Raw genomic sequence first — 22,695 nt, forward strand, 5'->3', positions numbered from 1 at the left:
CTTCTTCAAATCTCAACCACTCCTTTTCCTCTTATGTCAATGATCCTGCATACCAAAATCACAGCCTCTTCTCTCCACTGTTTTTTTTCCCCCTCCCTCTACAACAAAACATTAATGTCTGTCTCCTCTCCCCTTCCTAACTGAAGTAATCATGCTGTAGTTGTTGCTTGCCCGGGTCACCCTAATTCATGTCTCAGTGTTTGATGTTCATGGATGAGATCACCCAAGAAGATATCACCAGGTGGTGGGTGAGAGAAAAGACCAGGAGAGAATATAGAATGTTTCAGTATTAAACTACCCAGTGAAGGAAGATTATAGATGAATGGTTAGGGAAAGCCACGTTACTGAACATTAGATGTAAATTCTTTCTTTTACCATATGCCTATTAGTAAGTGATGAAAATTAATTTTATTCAGTAAGAAAAAACCAAGTATTTGGTAAGAGAGAAAATTAGATACTAATGCCAATTACAGATAGTGAAAAACTGAGAGAAAAAGAAAAAAATACAAATTCTTTTTCTTCTTATTTTTGAGACAGAGTCTCCCTCTATCACCCAGGATGGAGTACAGTGGCATGATCTCAGCTCACTGCAACCTCCGCCTCCCACATTCAAGCGATTCTTGTGCTTCAGCCTCCCACGTAGCTGGGATTATAGGCTCCCACCACCATGCCCGGCTAATTTTTTGTGTTGGGATTACAGGCATGAGCCACTGTGCCCAACCCAAATTCTTTTTTTTCCTTGAGACAGAGTCTCACTCTGTAGCCCAGGCTGGAGTGCAGTGGCGCGATCTTGGCTCACTGCAACCTCCCGAGTTCAAGCGATTCTCCTGCCTCAGCCTCCTGAGAAGCTGGGACCATAGATGCGTGCCACCACACCGGGCTAATTTTTTTGAGATGGAGTTTTGCTCTTTTGCCCGGAATGCAGTGGCATGATCTCTGTAGCCTCCACCTCCTGGGTTCCAGCAATTCTCCTGCCTCAGCCTCCCAGGTAGCTGGAATTACAGGCACGTGCCACCATACCTGGCTAATTTTTGTATTTTTAGTAGAGATGGGGTTTTGCCACGCTGGCCAGGCTGGTCTCAAATTCCTGACTTCAAGTGATCTGCCCGCCTTGGATTCCCAAAATGCTGGGATTATAGGTGTGAGCCACTGTGCCCGGCCAGGCCGAATAGTCCAATATCAAATTAATTTGTCATAAAATTACCATGTAATGCTTGTTTTGCTATTTTCAGGAATTCAGCAAAACTCCTTAAAAGTATGGTATATTCTTTAACAGCACCAAGTATGCCTGCTTTAAGGCATATATATATATATATATATATGTGTGTGTATATATATATATGTGTGTATATATATATGTATATATATGTGTATATATATATATGTGTATATATATATGTGTATATATATATATGAACATATACATACACACATGTACATATGTATATGTAGTACATATTTTCACCACCACTACCACCATGAAAACTTAAGCTGGTTAATGAGGTTTTAAAAATGACTTAGAGATAGACTTCATATACCCTAAAATTTACCCCACCCCCCTTTTTTGGAGACAGGGTTTTGCTTTGTCACTGCACTGGAGAGCAGTGGCACAATCAGAGCTCACTGCAGCCTCGACCTCCCAGGCTCAAGTGATCCTTCCCACCTCAGCCTCTCAAACAGCAGGGACTACAGATGCACTCCATCATGCCCTGCTAATTTATTTTTATGTTTGTAGAGACAGGATCTCCATATGTTGCCCAGGATAGTCTCAAACTCCTGGGATCAAGGGATCCTCCTGCCTTGGCCTCCCAAAGTGTTTACAGGCGTGAGCCATTGCTCCTGGCCCAAATTCACACATCTAAAGTGTCAAATTTAGTGGGTTTTAGTACATTCTTAGAATTGTGCAACTATCACCACTATCTAATTTTAGAACATTTTCATTACTCCCAAAAGAAACCTCATACCCATAAGCAGTTACTCACCATCTCCCCTTTGCCTAGCCCCAGGAATCTACTAATCAGCTTTCTGTCTCTATACATTTGTTTATTCTAGACTTTTTATATAAATAATACAATATGGGGTCTTTTGTGATCAGCTTCTTTCACTTAGCATACTATTTTCAAGATTCATGCATGTTGTATATACCAGTAAGTCCTTCCTTTTTATTGCTGAATAATATTCCATTGTACAGATGTACCACATTTTATCCATTTACCAGTTGATGGACATGTGGGTTATTTCCCTTTTTGGCTATTATGAAGAATGCTGCTATAAACATTTTTAGGCAAGTTCTTGTGTGGACATATGTTTACACTTCCCTTGGGTATATACTAGTAATATGGTAACTTTGTATTTAATGTTTTGAGGAAGTGTCAAAAACTTTTCCACTATCTTTTCACTATCTCATCAGCAATGCAGGAGGGCTCTAACTTCTTGATATCTTCTCCAACACTTTGTTAGAGTACCATTTTTATTTTAGCCATCCCAGTGGGTATGAAATGGTATACATAAATTTTGTGGTTTTGTAGATAATGAGCTTTAAGTATACAGGTTGAGTATCCCGTATCTGAAATACTTAGAACTGGAAGTGTTTTAGATATTGGGCTTTTTTACATTTTAGAATATTTGCATTGTATATTTACTGCTTGAGCATCCCAAATCTGAAAACCCAAAATGCTCCAATAAACACTTCCTTTGAGAGTCATGTTGGCATTCAAAAACTTTCAGATTTTGAAACATTTTGGATTTTAATTTTTTGAATTTGGGATGCTCAATCTGTATTTACATAGCACTCCAAGAAGATATCTGGGGACAAAGATTTGCCCCATAGGTAAAATCTGAAGGCGGATAAGTCATAAGAGCTGCCTGGGTCCAAAGCAAATGGCACAACAACAACCCAGTTCAGAGCTCTTTACAGTACTGTCACTAAAGAACTTATTACTTAGGTTGCTTTAACTTTTCTGACTACAATAGAACAAAGAGTCTAATCCCAGCATCTCTACCACAGTGCATCACTGTGATAAATTAAGTGTAAGGGGCAGAAAGGTTGAAACTGTAGAACAAAAGTAAGGCAGAATCATTTTTAGTCAACTGGGATTGAGTGCCAAAATGAAGAACAGTTAGAAATACATAACAAGAGAATGCCTGGTTTACCCTGGCAACATTAGGTCCTGAAGTGTCTGTTTTGAGGGTTACCCCTAATCACAAAAGCAGACAGCTCCCCTAAGCAGAAGGGGATTTTTTCAACAGTTTTGTTGTTTTTGAGACGGAGTCTCACTCTGTTGCCCAGGCTGGAGTGTAGCGGTACTATATTGGCTCACTGCAACCTCTGTCTTCTGGGTTCAAGCGATCCTCCTGCCTCAGCCTCCGAGCAGCTAGGATTACAGGCGTGTGCCACCACGCCCAGCTAATTTTTTTTTGTATTTTTAGTACAGATGGGGTTTCATTTCACCATGTTGGCCAGGCTGGTCTCGAACTTCTCACCTCACGTGATCCATCCACCTCGGCCTCCCAAAATGCCGGGAATACAGGCGTGAGCCACCATGCCTGGCCTTCAGCAGATTTTTTTTTAAGGTTAGCTATGTCGTGATTGCTGGGTATAATAAGTTTACTCCCAACATAAGCAGAGGGGAATGAATACATAAGACTTAACAGGTGAAAAGGCATGAAACATGCTAAATTTTTGGAAGACTGGCCAAATGATGTCAATTTTCTTATTAAGCAAAACAGACCCCAAGAAAATGGTATGAACAGTGGTATAGAATACCACTGAACCCAACATTTTCACCTCTCTGCTATAGGTTATTAAAATAAAACTACAACATGTTCAAGTGCTGAGATGCACTCCTTTCTTCAAACCTGTGTTGTTTCTTAAAGCATAATCCCTGAAGAGAACTGTGCTGTTTAAGTAATACATGTTATTGGGTAATGAAACAGTCAACTAAGAATAAGTAATCCTGTCAAAAAGCAGTTGCAAACAATTTAGACAAAGTTAATTAAATCATGTATTAACAGATTATATCCTGTACAAATCAGAATACAGTCACTGGTGGCTGCTAGAGGCTTCATCTGTTTTAGTTCTGCTATTTAAAGCTCAGGGAACTACTGTTTTTGTTCACAACTGAAACAGACCTTGGAATTAAATAAGACTTTAGTCCTTTTAGAAAATGTAAAAAGTATAGGAGTTTTCATACTACAGGTATTTTAGCAGAAAGAAGAGGGAGGCTAAAAGCATATTCCTCTGACTGAGATACTGAATCCTACAGTTAAAGGAATTTTTTTTTTTTTGAGACAGGGCCTTGCTCAATATATTACCCAGGCTTGAGTGCAGTGGCACAATCTTGGCTCACTGCAATGTCCACCTCCTGGGCTCAAATGATTCTCCTGAGGAAAACTCTAAATTTCTGTTCCTTGGTAATGTTATGTTACTGCGTAATGAAACCGTCAAGTGTCAAGTAAGAGTAAGTAATCTTGTCAAAAAGCAGATGCAAACAGTTTAGACAAGGTCAATCCTGTCAAAAAGCAGTTGCAAACAGTTTAGACAAAGTTAACTAAATCATGTATTAATAGACTCAGCCCCTCTAGCAGCTGGGACCACAGGCAACTGCCATCACATCCAGCTAATTTTTGGGGGCATTTTTTGTAGAGACCGGGTTTTGCCATGTTGCCCAGACTGGTCTCGAACTTTTGGGCTCAAGTGATCTGCCCGCCTGAGTCTCCTAAAGTGCTGGGATTACAGGTATGAGCCACCACGCTTGGCCTAAAGAATTTCTGAAGATGCTTTACAGTACCAGATTTTGATAATCTGGATCAGACTACCAGAGACTGAAATCGCAAGGAAGTTGGTCCCAACACTATTAGCAAGGAGGCAGCTTTTCAATGTGCCAGTTCCCCAGTATCAGTCAGAAGCCACGGGAACCTGTGTGGGAAGGAAGGAAAAGCATAGGCCTGAGTCACAAATTCAAATGTTTACAGGAGTTTGGCAGGTAACATAATGAGTCACACAGATTGGTGTAAGAGAAAAGATGAAGTGGAGATCACAGCTAGTTGCAGAATGAGCAAAGAGATGGCAACTGTTCAGCTTTAGTCAACTGTTATGTTGAAATGTAGGCCCAATGTTGTCTGATAATTTTAATTTTTCAAGATAAGCCAAAGCCTAAATTATGTAAAATTGAATTTTTAAAATTTGGGAATCAACTGAAATTAAAAAGGGAAAAACTAATAATGTGAAGGCCAGATAAAATATATCTATGAGATAATTTGTGACCTCTCTAGTTTATGTACTAGGAGGACCTTTAGTGGCACAAACAAGAGGCTAAGATTGGAAGAAAAATCCTGAGTAGGTAACAAGGTACAAAGGAAGCAGCCAAAAAGAGAGAAAGAGAGAGAGAGAAGAAAAGAAAAAGAGGAAGAAAGGAAGGGAGGAAGGGAGGGAGGGAAGGAGGATTGACTATAAAGGTGGTGCTGCTATTAATTAATTTACTTTTGGGAAACAATATTCTTTGGAGTTTGAATTTTAGGCCTCTTGAAATGCTAAAGAAAATGATTCTACTGTCATATCCATCAGCAGACAAATTTTTTAAAGATATGCAAAATAATTAAGGAGGCAAGGACGTAGGGATAGAAAAATCTGTAGTATCAAATTTGTCTGTAACTTACACTAAGCCAACAAAGGTAGGAGATGATCAGTGCTAATGTCTTTTTTTTTTTTTTTTGAGATGGAGTCTTGCTCTGTCGCCCAGGCTGGAGTGCAGTGGCATGATCTTGGCTCACTGCAACTTCCACCTCCCGGATTCAGGCAATTCTCCTGCCTCAGCCTCCCCAGTAGCTGGGACTACAGGCACGTGCTGCCACGCCCGGCTTTTTTGTATTTTTAGTAGAGAGGGGTTTTCACCATGTTAGCCAGGATGGTCTCGATCTCCTGACCTTGTGATCCGCCAGCCTCGGCCTCCCAAAGTGCTGGGATTACAGGCGTGAGCCACCGCGCCCGGCTAGTCAGTGCTAATGTCTATTGAGCATTCAGGTGTTATCAGAATTAACTCATGTAAAAAGGAATCATATATTGGATTTCTTCAGAAATGGAAAGGCCTACTCTTAGAGATTTCAAAATGTATTAACATCGATCACTTGAAAACTAGGGTTAAACTACTGAAAAGAGCCAAAATACTTAATCAGCTTCTGTATCTCTGAAGATCAAGCTGGGTCTTAATATTTTTGTGTTAACAACTCTTCGTAAAATCTTGGAAAACCTGAGAAAAACTAGTGAATATAAAGAGGCACATAACACCCCCGCATCCTGTCAGGAAAAAAACAACTCAAACCTTGAATGAGGGTGACCATATAGCTCCTTTTGGAGAGATTATTTGTGCTTATTAAAGAGAAGGGTATGTTTAGGATCCTGCCTCTACTATAGTTTACTACTAACGTAATACATTATTTCTCTGAAAAATATTAATGGTGAAAATCTGATAGAAGATGCAAACTAGGGATTGCTAATACAGGGTTGAAAGTACTTACCTATTATCTCAGATTCATAATAATCCTGTGTGCCTTCCTGGAAGACAAGACAGGGTGTCTTTATGATTTTAGAGCATGAATTTGGAAAAATGGTAGGTCCATTTGTATGTTAAGTTCATGTCCATCAAAGAGGAATGAAAAATATGTCCTTCCTCCTGTTAGGGGTTATGTGGCTGTGTTGTACCAAGGTCAATTAAAGATTCCTTAGAAATTATTTTTTTTTGTTGTCCGAGACAGGGTCTTGCTCTGTCACCCAGGCTAGGGTATAGTGGCATGATCACAGCTTATTGCAACCTCAAACTCCTGGGCTCAAGCGATCCTCCTGGCTTAGCCTCACAAGTAGCTCGGACTTACACTACATGTGCGTGTCACCACATCAGGGTAATTTTTTTTTTTTTTTTAGAGAGACAGAGTCTTGCTCTGTCACCCAGGCTGAGGTGCAGTGGCACGAGCATAGCTCACTGCAGCCTTGAACTCCTGGCCTCAACAGATCTTCCTGCCTCAGCCTCCTCAGTAGCTGGGATTATAGGCATGAGCCACTGCACCCAGTGGGTTCCTCAGACATTCCAAGTTCAGGGAAGAGACGAACTATGAAAAATTTAGTGCTGTGCTTCTTTTGTTTATATATTTATAACATTCTGTTTTGAGATCCTACTGTTTGCATTAGAACAGCAGTATGAAGAAAGGTGAAAAAGCCTACCTTTCAAGCAAATGAAGAACATTTCACCAAAAACCAAAACCAAAACCAAACTTGTACTACATGGTTTTTTTTTTTTTTAATGCGTAAGATGAGCTTTTAAGATGAAGAAATAAACTCACATGCATTCATTCATCATACCAGCTAAAGATTTTTCCTAGACCAGGGATCACAGATATATATTCTGTATTAGTGAACAGGCAGTCCATGAGTTCTCCATGGGTAACCCTTAATTTTGTATTTTTATTTTGATGGTACTCTAAAGAAGAGTAATAAGTGAATATTCTGGATCACCTAGATGAGCACTTTATAAATGTTTACAACATAACTTGGGACTTAAAATGACAATAATTTGTTTGTACTAAGGTCAAATGACACCACAATATCATATATATACGAAAGTTTTTAATTAATTCTGATAGAATAGGGTTTTCAACTGCAGCACTATTAACTGCCATTTTGCCTCTTTGTTTCAAGGAGCTTTTCTGTGCATTGTAGATGTTACCAGCATTGCTGGCCTCAACCTACTAGATGCCAGTAGTATCACACCCTTAGTTGGGACAACCAAAAATGTACAGAGGCATTGCCAAGTGCCTCCAGAGTGACAAAATCTCCCTAGTTTGAGAGCAAATGCAATAGAGAAAAGTGGTGGGAGAGCTGAGGTAACACAAGGTGTGCAGGAGAATAAACATGTCAAATTCAAATGAACCAAAGATGTAACAATTTCTACTACATTCAGGTTGAGGACAGTGTCACTAAAACATTATCATACAACACATTAATGCTGTCAATGTGAATTTTATTACATTGTAAATCTGTTTTGCTTTTTTTCCCTTAAAAGGCAAGTCTATACATTATTGAAGTTTGAATTATACTTTTTCCTGGTTTACTTTTTTCTTTATTTTTGAGATGGAGTCTTGCTCTGTCACTTAGGCTGGAGTGCAGTGGTGCCATCTTGGCTCACTGCAACCTCCACCTCCCAGACTCAAGCAATTCTCCTGCCTCGAGCAGCTGGGACTACTAGCCAGGCCACCACGCCTGGCTAATTTTTTTTATTTTTAGTAGAGACGGGGTTTCACCAAGTTGGACAGGCTGGTCTTGAACTCCTGACCTCAACTGATCTGCCCGCCTTGGCCTTCCAAAGTGCTGGGATTATACTGTGTGAGCCACCACACCCAGCCTATTGTTTTCTAGTTAAAACTTTTTTTTCTTTACAAAAATTAGCCGGGCGTGGTGGCGCATGCCTGTAATTCCAGCTACTCTGGGGGCTGAGGCAGGAGAATCGCTTGAACCCAGGAGGCGGAGGTTGCAGTGAGCCGAGATCGCGCCATTGCACTTCAGCCTGGGCAACAAGAGTGAAACTCCATCTCAAGAAAAACAAACAAACAAAAAAACCTTTTTTTTCTTTTCTTGAGATGGAGTCTCGCTCTGTCACCCAGGCTGGAGTGCAGTGGCACGATCTCGGCTCACTATAACCTCTGCCTCCCGGATTCAAGTGATTCTCTTGCCTCAGCCTCCTGAGAAGCTGGGACTACAGGTGCACACTACCATGCCCAGCTAATTTTTGTATTTTCAATGGAGATGGGGTTTCGCCATGTTGGCCAGGCTGGTCTGGAACTCCTGACCTCAGGTGAACTCCCCCTCAGCTTCCCAAAGTGCTGGGATTACAGGCACGAGCCACCGCACCTGGCCTCTTTTCTAGTTAAAACTTGACTCTGAAGTCATCGACTAGTGTGTAACCTTTCTTTCTTTTTCTTTTTTCTTTTTTTTTTTGAGACAGGGTCTTGCTCTGTCACCCAGGCTGAAGTACAGCGACATGATCTTGCCTCACCACAAAATCCGCCTCCCAGGTTCAGGCAATTCTCGTGCCTCGAACCCCCAAGCAGCTGGGATTACAGGCGTGCACCACCATGCCTGGCTAATTTTTGTAGTTTTAGTAGAGACAGGGTTTTGCTATGTTGGCCAGGCTGGTCTCGAATTGGCTTCATGTGACTCTGTCCATCTCAGCCTCCCAAAGTGCTGGGATTATAGGCATGAGCCACTGCACCTGGCCTAACCTTTCTAATGCCATTTTTCCACCTAAAATATCTTTTCTGTTAATATATCACAGATATTTCTTAATTGAAAAAATTCTCAAGAACCCCAAAACTTGAGTATATACTTAGATACTAAATGTCTTAATTAAATAAAGATAATCTGAAAGAGTTTTTTATTTGTTTTGTTTTTTTGAGACAAGGTCTTGCTCTGTTGCCCAGTGTGAAGTGCAGTGGCATGATCATGGCTCACTGCAACCTCAAACTCCTGGGCTCAAGCGATTCTAACACCTCGGCTTCTGGAGTAGCTGCGATTACACATGTGCCACCACACCCAGCTAATTACATTTTTTGTAATTAGCTTAGATTGGGGGGCAGGTCTTGTACATTGCTCAGGGTGGTCTCGAACTCCTGGGCTCAAGTGATCCTCCTGCCCTGGCTTTGCAAAGTGCTGCGATTACAGGTGCGAGCCACCGTGCCTAGCCTAAAATTTTTTTTTTTTTGAGACGGAGTCTTGCTCTGTCACCCAGGCTGGAGTGCAGTGGTGCGATCTCGGCTCACTGCAAGCTCCGCCTCCCGGGTTCACGCCATTCTCCTGCCTCAGCCTCTCCGAGTAGCTGGGACTACAGGCGCTCGCTACCAGGCCCGGCTAATTTTTTGTATTTTTAGTAGAGACAGGGTTTCACCGTGGTCTTGATCTCCTGACCTCGTGATCCGCCCGCCTCGGCCTCCCAAAGTGCTGGGATTACAAGCGTGAGCCACCGCACCCGGCCGGCCTAACATTTTTAAATTATAAATACTTTGAAAAACTGGAAAAGGTCCTGGATAGAAGTATTCACTGTTGAATTTTTCTTTCCTGAAAAACCAGTCTTTGAAAGAGTAAAAAAGTAACTGCCAATACAGCTTGTCTATATATATATGCTCTATAAATTTCTCTTCTTCGAATCAAGCAAAGCTGACAATGTATTAAAAGAATGTCCACGGCCGGGCGCAGTGGCTCACACCTGTAATCCCAGCACTTTGGGAGGCCGAGGTGGGCGGATCACGAGGTCAGGAGTTCGCCCCATCTCTACTAAAAATACAAAAATTAGCTGGGCATGGTGGCAGGCACCTGTAATCCCAGCTACTCAGGAGGCTGAGGCAGGAGAATCACTTGAAACCAGAAGGTGGAGGTTGCAGTGAGCTGAGATCCACCACTGCACTCCAGCTTGGGCGAAAGAGCAAAACTCCGTCTCAAAAAAACAGAAAAGAATGTCCAAAGGTATGTAGTAAGTTGAAAAGCTGTCTTGAATACAAGTCCATTAGTGGAAGAATCTTAAATTGGTTAGGTATATTTAAATGGGGGAGACTGTTCCAAAAAAGTGTAATACCACAACCAGCTTACAAATTCTTCCAGTTCTAGTAAGAATAAAACTTGGTCAAAGATTGCCTTTTACCTGTGCACTGAAATCTTATGGTTGGTGGAAGATGAAGGCTAAAAAAAAATCTTAGTTCAACAAGTCCAGCTTAGGAGACATCATTCCAATGCTCATAAATTTACAAGTTTAACAAATACAACTATTGTACCCCCCAAAAACCTAGTAAGTTATGTTAAAGTCACCCAAGATCAAATGGCTTGAAATTCTTTAACAAGCCAGAACTGTCCTATAGGTGTAACAATTTATTTTTCCCTTCTAAACTCTCCCAGGGGGATTATTGCCATCTTCTGTATATCAGTAACTAGTTAGGTACAATTTTCTCCTCTAAAATGATGGGGTGGCGGCGGGGGAGGGGGCAAAGACTGCAAAGTGTAATTCATTTATCAGCTCTTCAACATGCAGCAACAGAGTTTTTTGTTAAAGTTAAGATAGCATCTAATTTTATTTTCCTTCTCAAAATTTATCTAACTTCCAAGGTATATTGAATAGCAAAATGACTTAATAATAGAAAATGGTAGCCAATAAAGCATGAAATCTTATGTAGGGAACTTGAAAATAACAGTCTGCTGAATAACTCTTCAAAGTTTAACGCGTTAAGAGCAGAAATGGAAACAAAGCTCCCAGTGACCCTCAGCTGAATTACAAAATTAAATAAAAACTTAGAAATCAATAAAAGGCAAAAACATTATATAAGATTTACAAAACACAATTTGTCAAATAGTGTATATGTGGGAGTGTGGGCTGGAGGTGGTGTCTATGTCAGGATTTCTGCCACTGAAAAAACAAAGTGTGTTGGATGACTGCAGATAAAGATTGGCAGACACAAGAAATCATAGACACCAAGTTTTGGGGGGTATACTCATAAAATCCAATTGTTGTAACAATAGATAGGTACCTTCTTCTGTTAGCAAGTAACTACAACTCACCTGCTTGTGTGCATGATCATAGGAGTTGATATGGTTATCAAATTCCTGATGTTTCTGATATTGCTTATCACACAGTTCACAATAAAAGTTGGCTCTGAGGTCTTCCAAGGCTTTGGCAATTGCCTTCTCTTTGTCAACATAATCCTTCAAGACCCATGAAATACAAAGAAACAAAAAATGAACTTGGTAAAACTTTAAGTGAATGTTATAGAGAAAACAGTCTATCTGAGAAGACAAAAAAGGGCTTTTCATAATATTTAGTGGTACCAGTAAAAGCTGGATGAAACACAAGTGGTACTTTGGTGGGTAATCTGTGTGTCGTCATACTAACAATTGTCTTCAAATAAACAAATGTTTAAAAGGACTAAGGATGCTCAACTGATAAGTATAATGCAAATATTCCAAAACCCCCAAAAAATCTGAAATCTGAAACACCTTTGGTCTCAAGCATTTTGGATAAGGGATATACAACCTGTATTAATAGTCTAGTTTTCAGACACGAAGGAAAAAAGCATTACCTGAGTCTGTAGCCAATGATGGAGTTAAATATTCTATGGTCATTCTACATATAAGCTGCACTGCTTGGAAAGCCAACCCACAGATATGTGTTATCTGCTGGTCTCAGCGAGATTGAAAACTGTGGGACTCTTACATGTGAGAGGAGGTTGGAGAAAAACAACAACAACAAAAAACTGTGGGACTGACTCAAAGGCAGTCCAATTTGCCTCAGCAGTTTCACTTAAAAACTAGACATCAAAAGACATCTCAAAAAGGAAAAAAGAGAAAACAATTAAAAGATACCTCAAAGCAAGTTGAGTATATTCATTTGCTAATGTCGCACAGAAGGATGAGAAAGGGACAGGAATGCTAAGTGACTACTTGCTTGACTTTTAGAGCAGGGTAGATGCATTACTTTCATAATGAGCAACTCCTTCTAGCAGACTGACCTAAAAAAGATAAGTCTTATCTCAAAGACTATATCTACAGTTTCAAAGCAGCTCTATCATCTCCCATAAGAGCTACTTAATCAGTAAACAAGAAAAGGTTATTATTTTCTGGAGTGGCAGTACTGAACTAATTTGGACAGACTTATTAAAACTGAAAAGTGAGTATGTGTAGCACATTGTTATTTTTGCCCTATCTAATCCTTCACAATAATTTTCTTTGACAGTCCCGGACAGTTTCATGTTGTTTGGCTATTAAACGACTTGTGGCTTTTTTGCCCAGGCTGGAGTACAGTGCAGTTCATGGCTCACTGCAGTCTTCACCTCCTGGGCTCAAGCAATCTTCCCACCTCGGCCTCCCAAGTATCTTGGACTATAGGCGTGTACCAGCAAACCTAGCTAACTTTTGTATTTTTTGTAGAGATGAGGTCTCACTATGCTGCCAAAGCTGGTCATGAACTCCTGGGCTCAAGTGATCCTCCCACCTTGGACTCCCAAAGTGATGACATTGCAGGTGTCAGCCCCCACACCTGGCTGCAAATTTAAGCAACAAAACTAGAGTTCCTGGTATGAATACAGCAGTATAGGAAAACAGCTTTGATTTTCTTCTTGGGTATCATAAAAACAAAATTATGAATTAAAAAAACCCCACCAACTGCATTTTCAGAAGAACTGGGCAACAGATATGATCTGGAGTATGAAAAACACACAGAAGGAAAGTTAAGCTCTTTATAGAACCTGAATGAGGGAAATGTAGTAGAAGCCAGACAAGGCAAAGCTAAGCAATATCAAAAAAGCCAAAGGTGGCAATTTCAGAAAATGGCAAAACATATATCCTGTACATAAAAGGATCCTCTGAAATGAATATACCTACATCTCTTGCACTCATCAAGAATTTCTGAGATCTGGGAAGAACAAAGGGATGAACTTGGGTTAGGGTGGATGAGGAAACATTTGCAGTACAAAGAATGCACATAGAGAAAAGCAAAAAGTTCTGCCCAATTGCGGCAGATCTAAGAAAAGGCTGAGGCCAGGTGCGGTGGCTCACGCCTGTAATCCCAGCACTTTGGGAGGCCGAGGCAGGCAGATGGCTTGAGCTCAGGAGTTCAAGACCAGCCTGGGTAACACAGTGAAACTCCGGCTCTACCAAAAATACAAAACATTAGCTGAGCATGGTGTCACTTGCCTTTGGTCCCAGCTACTTGAAAGGCTGAGGTGGGAGGACCACTTGAGCCTGGGACGCAGAGGCTGCAGTAAGCCAAGATTGCGCCACTGCACTCCAGCCTGGGTGACAGAGTGAGACCTTGTCTCAAAAAAAAAAAAAAAAAAAAAGGCTATCAGCACATGCTCACTAAAGGAAGATCCACTCAACTACACAGGACAAGAAAGGGCACATAGTGTGACAATGAAAATGGTCCCAGAACAATCAGTGACAATCAATAGTGTAGTAAAGTTATTGAATCTTAAAGACAGACTCCTTTCAGCAGCTAGGCAAAAACAATCAAGAAGGGGAAGATCAGGCCAGCCTTTGATCTCTTCAACAACACACACACACACTCTCTCTCTCTCTCTCTCTCTCTCTCTCTCTCACACTCTCTCTCAACTCCAGAAGACAGTGGTACAATAAATACTATAAGATATCTAAGGAAAGAATTAACTTAGGATTTTATATGTATCTTTCAAATATAGGGAATACATACACGTATATATGGAGTTATATGTATGTGTACATATATACACACATATACATAAGTTGATATATATGTAATTGCCTAAATTAATATTACTATTTTTTTTTTTTGAGACAGCGTCTTGCTCTATTGGCCAGACTGGAGTGCAGTAGTGCAATTACAGTTCACTGTAGCATCGACCTCCTGGGCTCAATTAATCCTCCCACCTCGGCCTTCTGAGTTGCTAGGACCACAGGGGCATGCCACTATGCCTGGCTAATTTTTGTATTTTTCGTAGAGACAGGGTTTCATCATGGTGCCCAAGGCTGGATGTGAATTATTTTTATAGGCTTATGTTTATATAAAATACATATATATATAAATAATTCAAGAAACACTGTTTGCACAACCACTTTTAAGTAAGTTAATAGGGTACAAAATTCAGAAATAATAGAAGAAAACTCAGCAAAAGAACTGGCAGACTGCTTTAAAACCATTTACTCCTATAACTAAGGTTAAAAGAAATAGGGCTATTAAAGTATATACATATAACTGTAACATATACATATAACTATGTATGTTATATGCTGTCAGAAAATAGAAATGATACAAATAATAAAAAACTGGGTGGGCAGGCAGAAGCAGATATGAATTTGAGTTTGCTTACTTCTGCAAACTCAATAGAAGTAAAAAGAACTTTACAAAACATGAAAATTATTAAGTAATAGAAGTAGTGTACATAATATAATAATTAAATGGTATGAAGCCACATACTAAGAATGGCCATTTTACTTATTAACATTATATGATAGAGTTTTTAAAATGGAAGAGGAAAGAAGAGAAAACAAGCTAGCTTTTTATTGCTTATAGTACGAAAATAATGGACACTCAAACATGGGTAATTTCATTAAGTTATAAAGGTAACTAGAACAACACAAATATAATCCATCCTATATCCATCCATCCATCCATGTATCCATCCATCCATCCATTTATTTCCCACTTTGAGACCACATAATAACTTAAAAAATAAAATAGGCCAGGCGTGGTAGCCCATGTCTGTAATTCCAGCACTTTGGGAGGCCGAGGCAGGCGGATTACCTGAGCTCAAGAGTTTGAAACCAGCCTGGGCAACATAGCAAAACCCCATCTTTACCAAAAATACAAAAAATTAGCTAGGCGTGGTGGTGTGCACCTGTAGTCCCAGTTACTTGGAAGGCTGGGGAAGTCCTTCAAAAAGTACTCGTAGGCTGGGTGCGGTGGCTCATTCCTGTAATCCCAGCACTTTGGGAGGCCGAGGTGGGTGGATCACCTGAGGTCAGGAGTTTGAGACCAGCCTGACCAACGTGATGAAACCCTGTCTCTACTAAAAATACAAAAATCAGCCAGGTGTGGTGGTGGGCGCCTGTAATCCCAGCTACTTGGGAGGCTGAGGCACGAGAATCACTTGAATCTGGGTGGTGGAGGTTGCAATAAGCTGAGATCGCACCATTGCACTCTGGCCTGGGCAACAGAGTGAGACTCCATCTCAATTAAAAAAAAAAAAAGTACTTGTAGAGGCCAGGCATAGTGGCTCACACCTGTAATCCCAGCACTTTGGGAGGTTGAGGTGGGTGGACAGCTTGAGCCTAGGAGTTCAAAACCAGCCTGGGCAACATGGTGAAACCCTGTCTTTACAAAAAATATAAAAATTAGCTGGGTGTGGTGGCATGCACCTGTAGCCCCAGATGCTCGGGAAGCTGAGGTGGGAGGATCGCTTGAGTCCAGGAGGTCGAGGCTGCAGTAAGCTGTGATCACTGCCACCGCACTTCTAGGTGACAGAGTGAGATCCTGTCTGGGTGACAGAGTGAGACCCTATCTCAAATAAACAGTACTCATAGAATATTTACACAGACAAGGCCAGGCACGCTGGCTCATGCCTGTAATCCCAGCACTGTGGGAGGCCGAGGTGGGCGGTTCACGAGGTCAGGAGATCGAGACCATCCTGGCTAACATGGTGAAACCCTGTCTCTACTAAAAATACAAAAAATTAGCCGGGCGTGGTGGCAGGCACCTGTAGTCCCAGCTACTCGGGAGGCTGAGGCAGGAGAATGGCATGAACCCGGGAGGCGGAGCTTGCAGTGAGCCGAGATGGCGCCACTGCACTCCAGCCTGGGCGACAGAGACTCCATCTCAAAAAAAAAGAATATTTACACAGACAAAAAGCCCATTATAGGCTATAGAAGAAACTGTAATAAAGTCAGAAATGAAGAAGTAATATGCACAACATATATCAACACAGTATAATACAGCTAAGAATTAACAAAAATGTTTAAAAGACCCTTCCATGAATCTGAAGCTGCAGAATTTTAAGGTAAAAAAGGATAATGACAACATTATACAGAGGCTAAAGTATATTGCTTTAAGAAGTTAAGCCTATGTGTATTCCTTGAACACAGGTTTAACCCCTTACAGCAATGGAAACAAGAAAATAAATAAATGTCACACTCTGGAGAAAATCTTGTGTGTATATATATATACAAGAAAACTGATTCCACTTATATAAAGTTAAAAAACATGTAAAACTAGGCCACGTGGTGGCTCACGCCTGTAATCCCAGCACTTTGGGAGGCCAAGGCAGGTGGATCACCTGAGGTCAGGAGTTCGAGACCAGCCTGGCCAACATGGTGAAACCCCGTCTCTACTAAACACACACACACACACACACACACACACACACACACAAAACAACAAACAAACAAACAAACAAAAACCAGCTGAGCATGGTGGCACGTGTCTGTAATCCCAGTTGCTCGGGAGGCTGAGGCACAAGAATTGCTTGAACTCAGGAGGTGAAGGCTGCAGTGAGCTGAGATCGTGCCACTGCACCCCAACTTGAGTGACAGAGTAAGACTCCGTCTAAAAAAAAAAAACAAAATTAGCTGGACGTGGTGGCGCACGCCTGTAATCCCAGCTACTTGGGTGGCTAAGGCATGAGAATTGCTTGAACCCGGGAGGCACAGGTTGCTGTGAGCCATCGTGCCACTGCACTCCAGCCTGGGCGACAGAGCAAGACTGTCTCAACAAAGCAAGACTGTCTCAAAACCAACCAACCAACCAACCAACTCACCGACCCACCCACCCACCCACTACATAAAACTAAGCAATACATATTTAGGATACAAAACACATTAAAAAACCATTTTAAAATGCAAGGGAAAATAGAAGAGGAAGGAACACTTCCTAATTTATTCTGAGTATTACCCTGATACAAAGACATTACAAGAAAACTACAGACTAATATCTTTTCTGTGTACAGATGCAAAAATGCTCAACAAAATGCTATCAAACCAAATTCAACAGCATATTAAAAGGCGAAGTGGGATTTATCCCAGGAACTCAATGTTGGTTCAACATACAAAAATCAATCAATGTAATACACCACTACAATGTAATACACCATTATTAACAGAATATAAAAGGAAAAAACCCACAAGGTTATCTCAGTAGATGCAAAATAAGCATTTGACAAAACCCAATACTCTCTTTCATGGTAAAAACACTAAACAAAGCAGGAATTTCTAGAAATTAGGCACTTCCTCAACCTGATGAGAACAAAAAACCCCCAGCTAACATCATAATGGTGAAAGACTGAAAGCTTCTCTATAAAGATCAGAAAGACGACAGGAATGTTCACTGTTGCATTTTTTTTTTTGAGATAGAGTCTCACTCTGTCTGTCGCCCAGGCTGGAGTGCAGTGGTGCGATCTTGGCTCACTGCAACCTCCGCCTCCTGGGTTCAAGCGATTCTCCTGCCTCAGCCTCCTGAGTAGCTCGGATTACAGGCACACAACACCACGCCCAGCTTTTTTTTTTTTTTTTGTATTTTTAGTAGGGAAGGGGTTTCACCATTTTGGCCAGGCTGGTCTGGAACTCCTGACCTCAAGTGACCCGCCCACCTTGGCCTCCCAAAGTGCTGGGATTACAGGTGTGAGCCACCGCACTGGCCACAGTGGTGATAATTTTACAACACTGTAAATAAGCTAAAAATCATTAAATTGTAGTATTGCTATAAAATGACTAAAATGGTAAATTTATGTTATGTGAATTTTATCTCAACAACAATTTTACCTACAAAATTGTGAGGGGGCCAGGCACAGTGGCTCACGCCTGTAATCCCAGCATTTTGGGAGGCTGAGGCAGGCGGATCACTTGAGGTCAGGAGTTCTAGACCAGCCTGGCCAACATGACAGAACCCTGTCTCCACTAAAAATACCAAAATAATTCGCTGGGTGTGATGGTGCACACCTGTAATCCCAGCTACTCAGGAGGCTGGGGCAGGAGAATTGCTTGAAACCAGGAGGCAAAGGTTGCAGTGAGCTGAGATTCTGCCATTGCACTCCAGCCTGGGTGACAGAACAAGACTGTCTCAAAAAGGAAAAAAAAAAAAAAAAAAAAAAGGCGAAAAACACAAAAATCAGCATAGTGTTTATCTCTAAAGGAGACAGAAATGTGATGGGATCATGAAGTTACTGATAGTGCTCTTTTTCTTAAATTGAGTAGAAAATACCTAAGTGTTTATAGTTTTTCTTTATATCTCACATATTAAAAATATTTAATAAAATAACAAGAATGTCAAATGAGACTGCAGTTTTTGTTTTTTCTTTTAAAAGTCTGGTAGAGCTATTTGGCTCTAAGACTATATACAAGTAAAACTTTGATAAAAATGAAAATTAAAAAATAAAAATGGGAGGCTGAGGTAGGGGGATCATTTGAAGTCAGGAGTTTGAGACCAGCCTGGGCAACATAGTGAGACCCTATCTCTTAAAAAAAAAATTAGCCAGGCATGGTGGTGCACGCCTATAGTCTTGGTTACTTGGGAGGCTGAGGTGGGAGGATTGTATGAGCCCAGGAGTTTAAGGCTGTAGTGAGCTACGATAGCACCACAGAACTCCAGCATGGACGACAGAGTGAGATCCCATCTCTATAAAATTAGAGATGAGAGAGTGATGAAAAGGAAGCAGTCAGAGTAGTGACTAAGAATTCTGGTTCTAAAGACAAGTGAAAAGAGAAGGTGGTAGCTATATGGAGAGTAAATCAGAGTGGGTTTTTTTTTTTTTTTTTTAATTTTAGGATTCCCTCTCCCAACAAATCTTCAAGTATGTTTACTGTTGATAGGAAAAGAACAAATAAAGAGAAAGGTTGCCAATACAGGAAAGAAGTGGAAGGTCTTTGATAAGACAGGGAGAGTTAGGATCCAGAATTCAGATGTATGTACAAATTATCATTTAACAGATGGTGAAACAAAAGAGAAATATTGAAGTATGAGAGCAGGTGAACCCTCGTTTGATGTAGGATAGTATACGTAGATGAAGGCATTACTACCTGATGGTCCAAATTCTCTTTCTTAACTAAAAACATACGGGAAGGCAGAGATACGACAAGGGTAGTTAAGGAAAGATGAAGGCTGAGTACCAATGTTTGAGAATGACAGCTGAGAGGACTAAGAGGGACATGACACATGAGAGGATTAATTGGCAGCTCTGAGGGCCCAGTGAGGTTGGCAGAAAGGGTATAGAAATAAAGAATGCAAGTAATGCATTTTGTACTAACGGGACAGGCTTTTGGTGAGTATGTATGACAAAAGGACTAGGAGGAAAGGGAGTTGGAATCAAAGTGCTGTGAGAGGTAAACATGAGTGTGTGGTGCTAGAGGGGAAAAGTACAAATTAAGGAGGAGCTAAGTTACTAAAGCTTCCAAAGTCATGTGAAGTTGAAGAAAAAATATAGGAGAATAAAGGAGTGACAGCAGGAAGGAAAAAAGACCATGGTCAGATAATAGGACATTTAAGATTTTAGAAACAGTGTAGTTCAGAGTTGACAGGGTTTCGGAGTAAATATTTTGATCAATAAGATGGGGAAAGTAATTCTTGCTCTTGCCCAGGCTGGAGTGCAGTGGTGTGATCATAGGTCACTGCTGTCTTCAACTCCTGGGCCCAAGTGATCCTCCCAATTCAGCTTCTCTAAGTAGCTGGGATTTATAGGCATGCACCACCAACACCTAGCTATTTTTTTTCTTTTTTCTTTTTGTAGAGACAGATTCTTGCTACATTGCCCAGACTGCTCTCAAACTCCTGGGCTCAAGCAATCCTCCCAAAGCACAGCCGTGATCCACCGCACCCAGCCGAGAAATAATTCTATTACCAGGGAGAGAGCATCTCAAGATACTATGTATAATCTTATGAGGCTGTGAATTACTGAGGTATTTCATTTATTTTTCACTCGACAGTGTAACTTTTACTTGAAAAATAAAAATGTATTCTTTATAATGTTTATATTTCAGACAGTACATAAAATGAATCTGGCTTTTCTCACTATTTCAAAATATTTATTCATTCAACTAATATTTATTGAGTACTTATGCACCACACACTGTGCTGGATGCAGGATATATACTGGCAGACAAATAGACATACTCTCTCTCCTCAATGCCCTTTCTGACTAGTACAGAAAGCAGAATATAAATTAGTGAATAAAAATTTATAATTACAAATTGTAAGAGAGGTTGTTGCAAGAGAATAAGGCAGAGTGGTTAATTATTTAAATGAGTTGATTAGGGAAGATCTATAATGAGGTAATATTTAAGCTAAAACCCAAAGGAGAAAATTTAACCAAGTGAAAGATGATGAAACATGGTGTCATGACCACTCTTGTGCCTAGAGAAAGAATGTAGCCAGAAAAAGAGGGCCCAGGTCTGAAGCTGAGGAACTCCAATATCTGAAGTTCAGGCAGAATAAACAGCAGCCAACAAAGGAATCTACATAGAAGCAGCAAGACAGATAAGAAGCAACTAATCTAGGAAAGTATAAATTCTTCAAAACCAAGAGTAATGAAAATGTTTTAAAGAAGAAAGAGTATGCCAGGCGCAGTGGCTCACGCCTGTAATCCCCACACTTTGGGAGGCCGAGGTGGGCAGATCACGTGAGGTAAGGAGTTCGAGACCAGCCTGGCCAACATGGTGAAACCCCATCTCTACCAAAAATTCAAAAAAATTAGCTGGCCGTGGTGGCTCATACCTGTAGTCCCAGCTACTCGGAGGCTAAGGCACGAGAATCACTTGAACCCGGGAGCAGTGAGCTTAGATCACACCACTGTACTCCAGCCTGGGCAACAGAGTGAGACTCAGTCTTTAAAAAAAATAATAATATTAATAATAATAATAAAATAAATAAATAAATAAATGATTTATTGGATTTAGCAAATAGAAGTGTTTGGTGGCCTTGAATAAAGTGGTTTGGTGAAAACTGCTAAAGTCAGTATAAATAGGCTGAAGAGTGAATAAAGAGAGAGGAAAGGAGAAGAAAAAGGGGAAAGAAAAAGGGGCAGGAAAAGAAGATGAGTTGGTTATATTATAGTTCTGGATAAAATAAAACACACAAAAATTTAATATATAGCTAAGCTAAGTTCAAAAACAAGAAAGGGGGTCAAGCGCGGTGACTTACGCCTGAAATCCCAGCAAACTGGGAAGCCGTGGCAGGCAGATCACCTGAGGCAAGGAGTTCAAGACCAGCCTGGCCAACATGGTGAAACCCCATCTCTACTAAAAACACAAAAATTAGGCTTGGCGTGGTGGCTCACGCCTGTAATCCCAGCACTTTGGGAGGCCGAGGCGGGTGGATCACAAGGTCAGGAGTTCGAGACCAGCCTGACCAACATGGTGAAACCCCGTCTCTACTGAGTGTTGGGGTTACAAGTGTGAGCCACTGTGTCTGGCCTCTGCAAGTGTTGGGGTTACAAGTGTGAGCCATTGTGTCTGGCCTCAAAGGACTTTTAACAATTTTTACTGCTACCACTACTTGAATACCTACTATGTAACAGGCATTGTGTTTTCAAACACTAATTCATGTAATCTTTCTAACACACTTTAGAAGTAGGTATTATTATCTCTATAGTTTATACAGAGCCAATAAATAGGAATGTAATAGAAATCTGAGATCTACTACTAATTACCACCAAATGTCAAACAAATGCTGTTAGCAACAGTGATGATTTTCAACAAAATTTGAGTTCTTTCTTATTCAGTGAGCACCTCCCCATCTCCCAATGAATAGCTTTGTTTAAATACCTTGTACTTTTGTCTCAGCTCTTCTGTGTCTTCTTTTTCTACTTCTAGGACACGGCGCCGTTCGGTAGCATCTTCAGCATAATCAAGCTTGACAAAAATAGATATGATTAGATTTAATTCCTAAAGTACCCCCAAGATTAGCTATGAAAAAGTTATTTGCACAACTACAGTATTATCTGAAAACAAAAAAAAATTGTAATTTTGCTTAGCTACTGCTTGCTTTATTGTCACCTCACAGAGAAAATCACATGCAAAATAGTTTGTTACTTTCAGGCTGGTAGTTTCCAAAAGGCACATTTGTTGAAAGTAGACTTCACTTCAATGTTAATTTTCTTTTCTTTCTTTCCTTTTTTTTTTTTTTTTTTTGAGATGGAGTTTCACTCTTGTTG

The 22,695-nt window shown here is 40.6% G+C and overlaps 1 protein-coding gene across 14 annotated transcripts in view, besides 1 other annotated feature; it reads right to left on the reverse strand.

Moving 5' to 3' along the window:
- GPATCH8 (G-patch domain containing 8) overlaps window positions 1–22,695 on the reverse strand; it is a 108,126-nt gene that overhangs the window by 17,478 nt on the left and 67,953 nt on the right. For 7 of the 14 annotated variants that reach the window (XM_011524557.2, XM_011524558.3, XM_011524561.3 and 4 more), the window contains 3 exons: window positions 22,307–22,393; window positions 11,591–11,734; window positions 6,517–6,553 (listed from right to left, as the gene is read on the reverse strand). In XM_011524557.2, coding sequence (XP_011522859.1) covers window positions 6,517–6,553; window positions 11,591–11,734; window positions 22,307–22,393 — 268 coding nt within the window. The remainder of the gene's footprint in view (window positions 1–6,516; window positions 6,554–11,590; window positions 11,735–22,306; window positions 22,394–22,695) is intronic. The other 7 variants (NM_001304939.2, NM_001304942.2, NM_001002909.4 and 4 more) reach the window with 1 other exon arrangement.
- Window positions 8,425–9,398: an enhancer, noted in NCBI's record as "H3K27ac-H3K4me1 hESC enhancer chr17:42498551-42499524 (GRCh37/hg19 assembly coordinates)". NCBI's record gives its function as "activates a minimal SCP1, AML or CMV promoter by ChIP-STARR-seq in primed H9 embryonic stem cells {active_cell/tissue: H9 hESC(primed)}" and the evidence as "EXISTENCE:reporter gene assay evidence [ECO:0000049][PMID:30033119]".

This window comes from Homo sapiens, chromosome 17 (assembly GCF_000001405.40).
Source record: "Homo sapiens chromosome 17, GRCh38.p14 Primary Assembly".
NCBI lineage: Eukaryota > Metazoa > Chordata > Mammalia > Primates > Hominidae > Homo > Homo sapiens.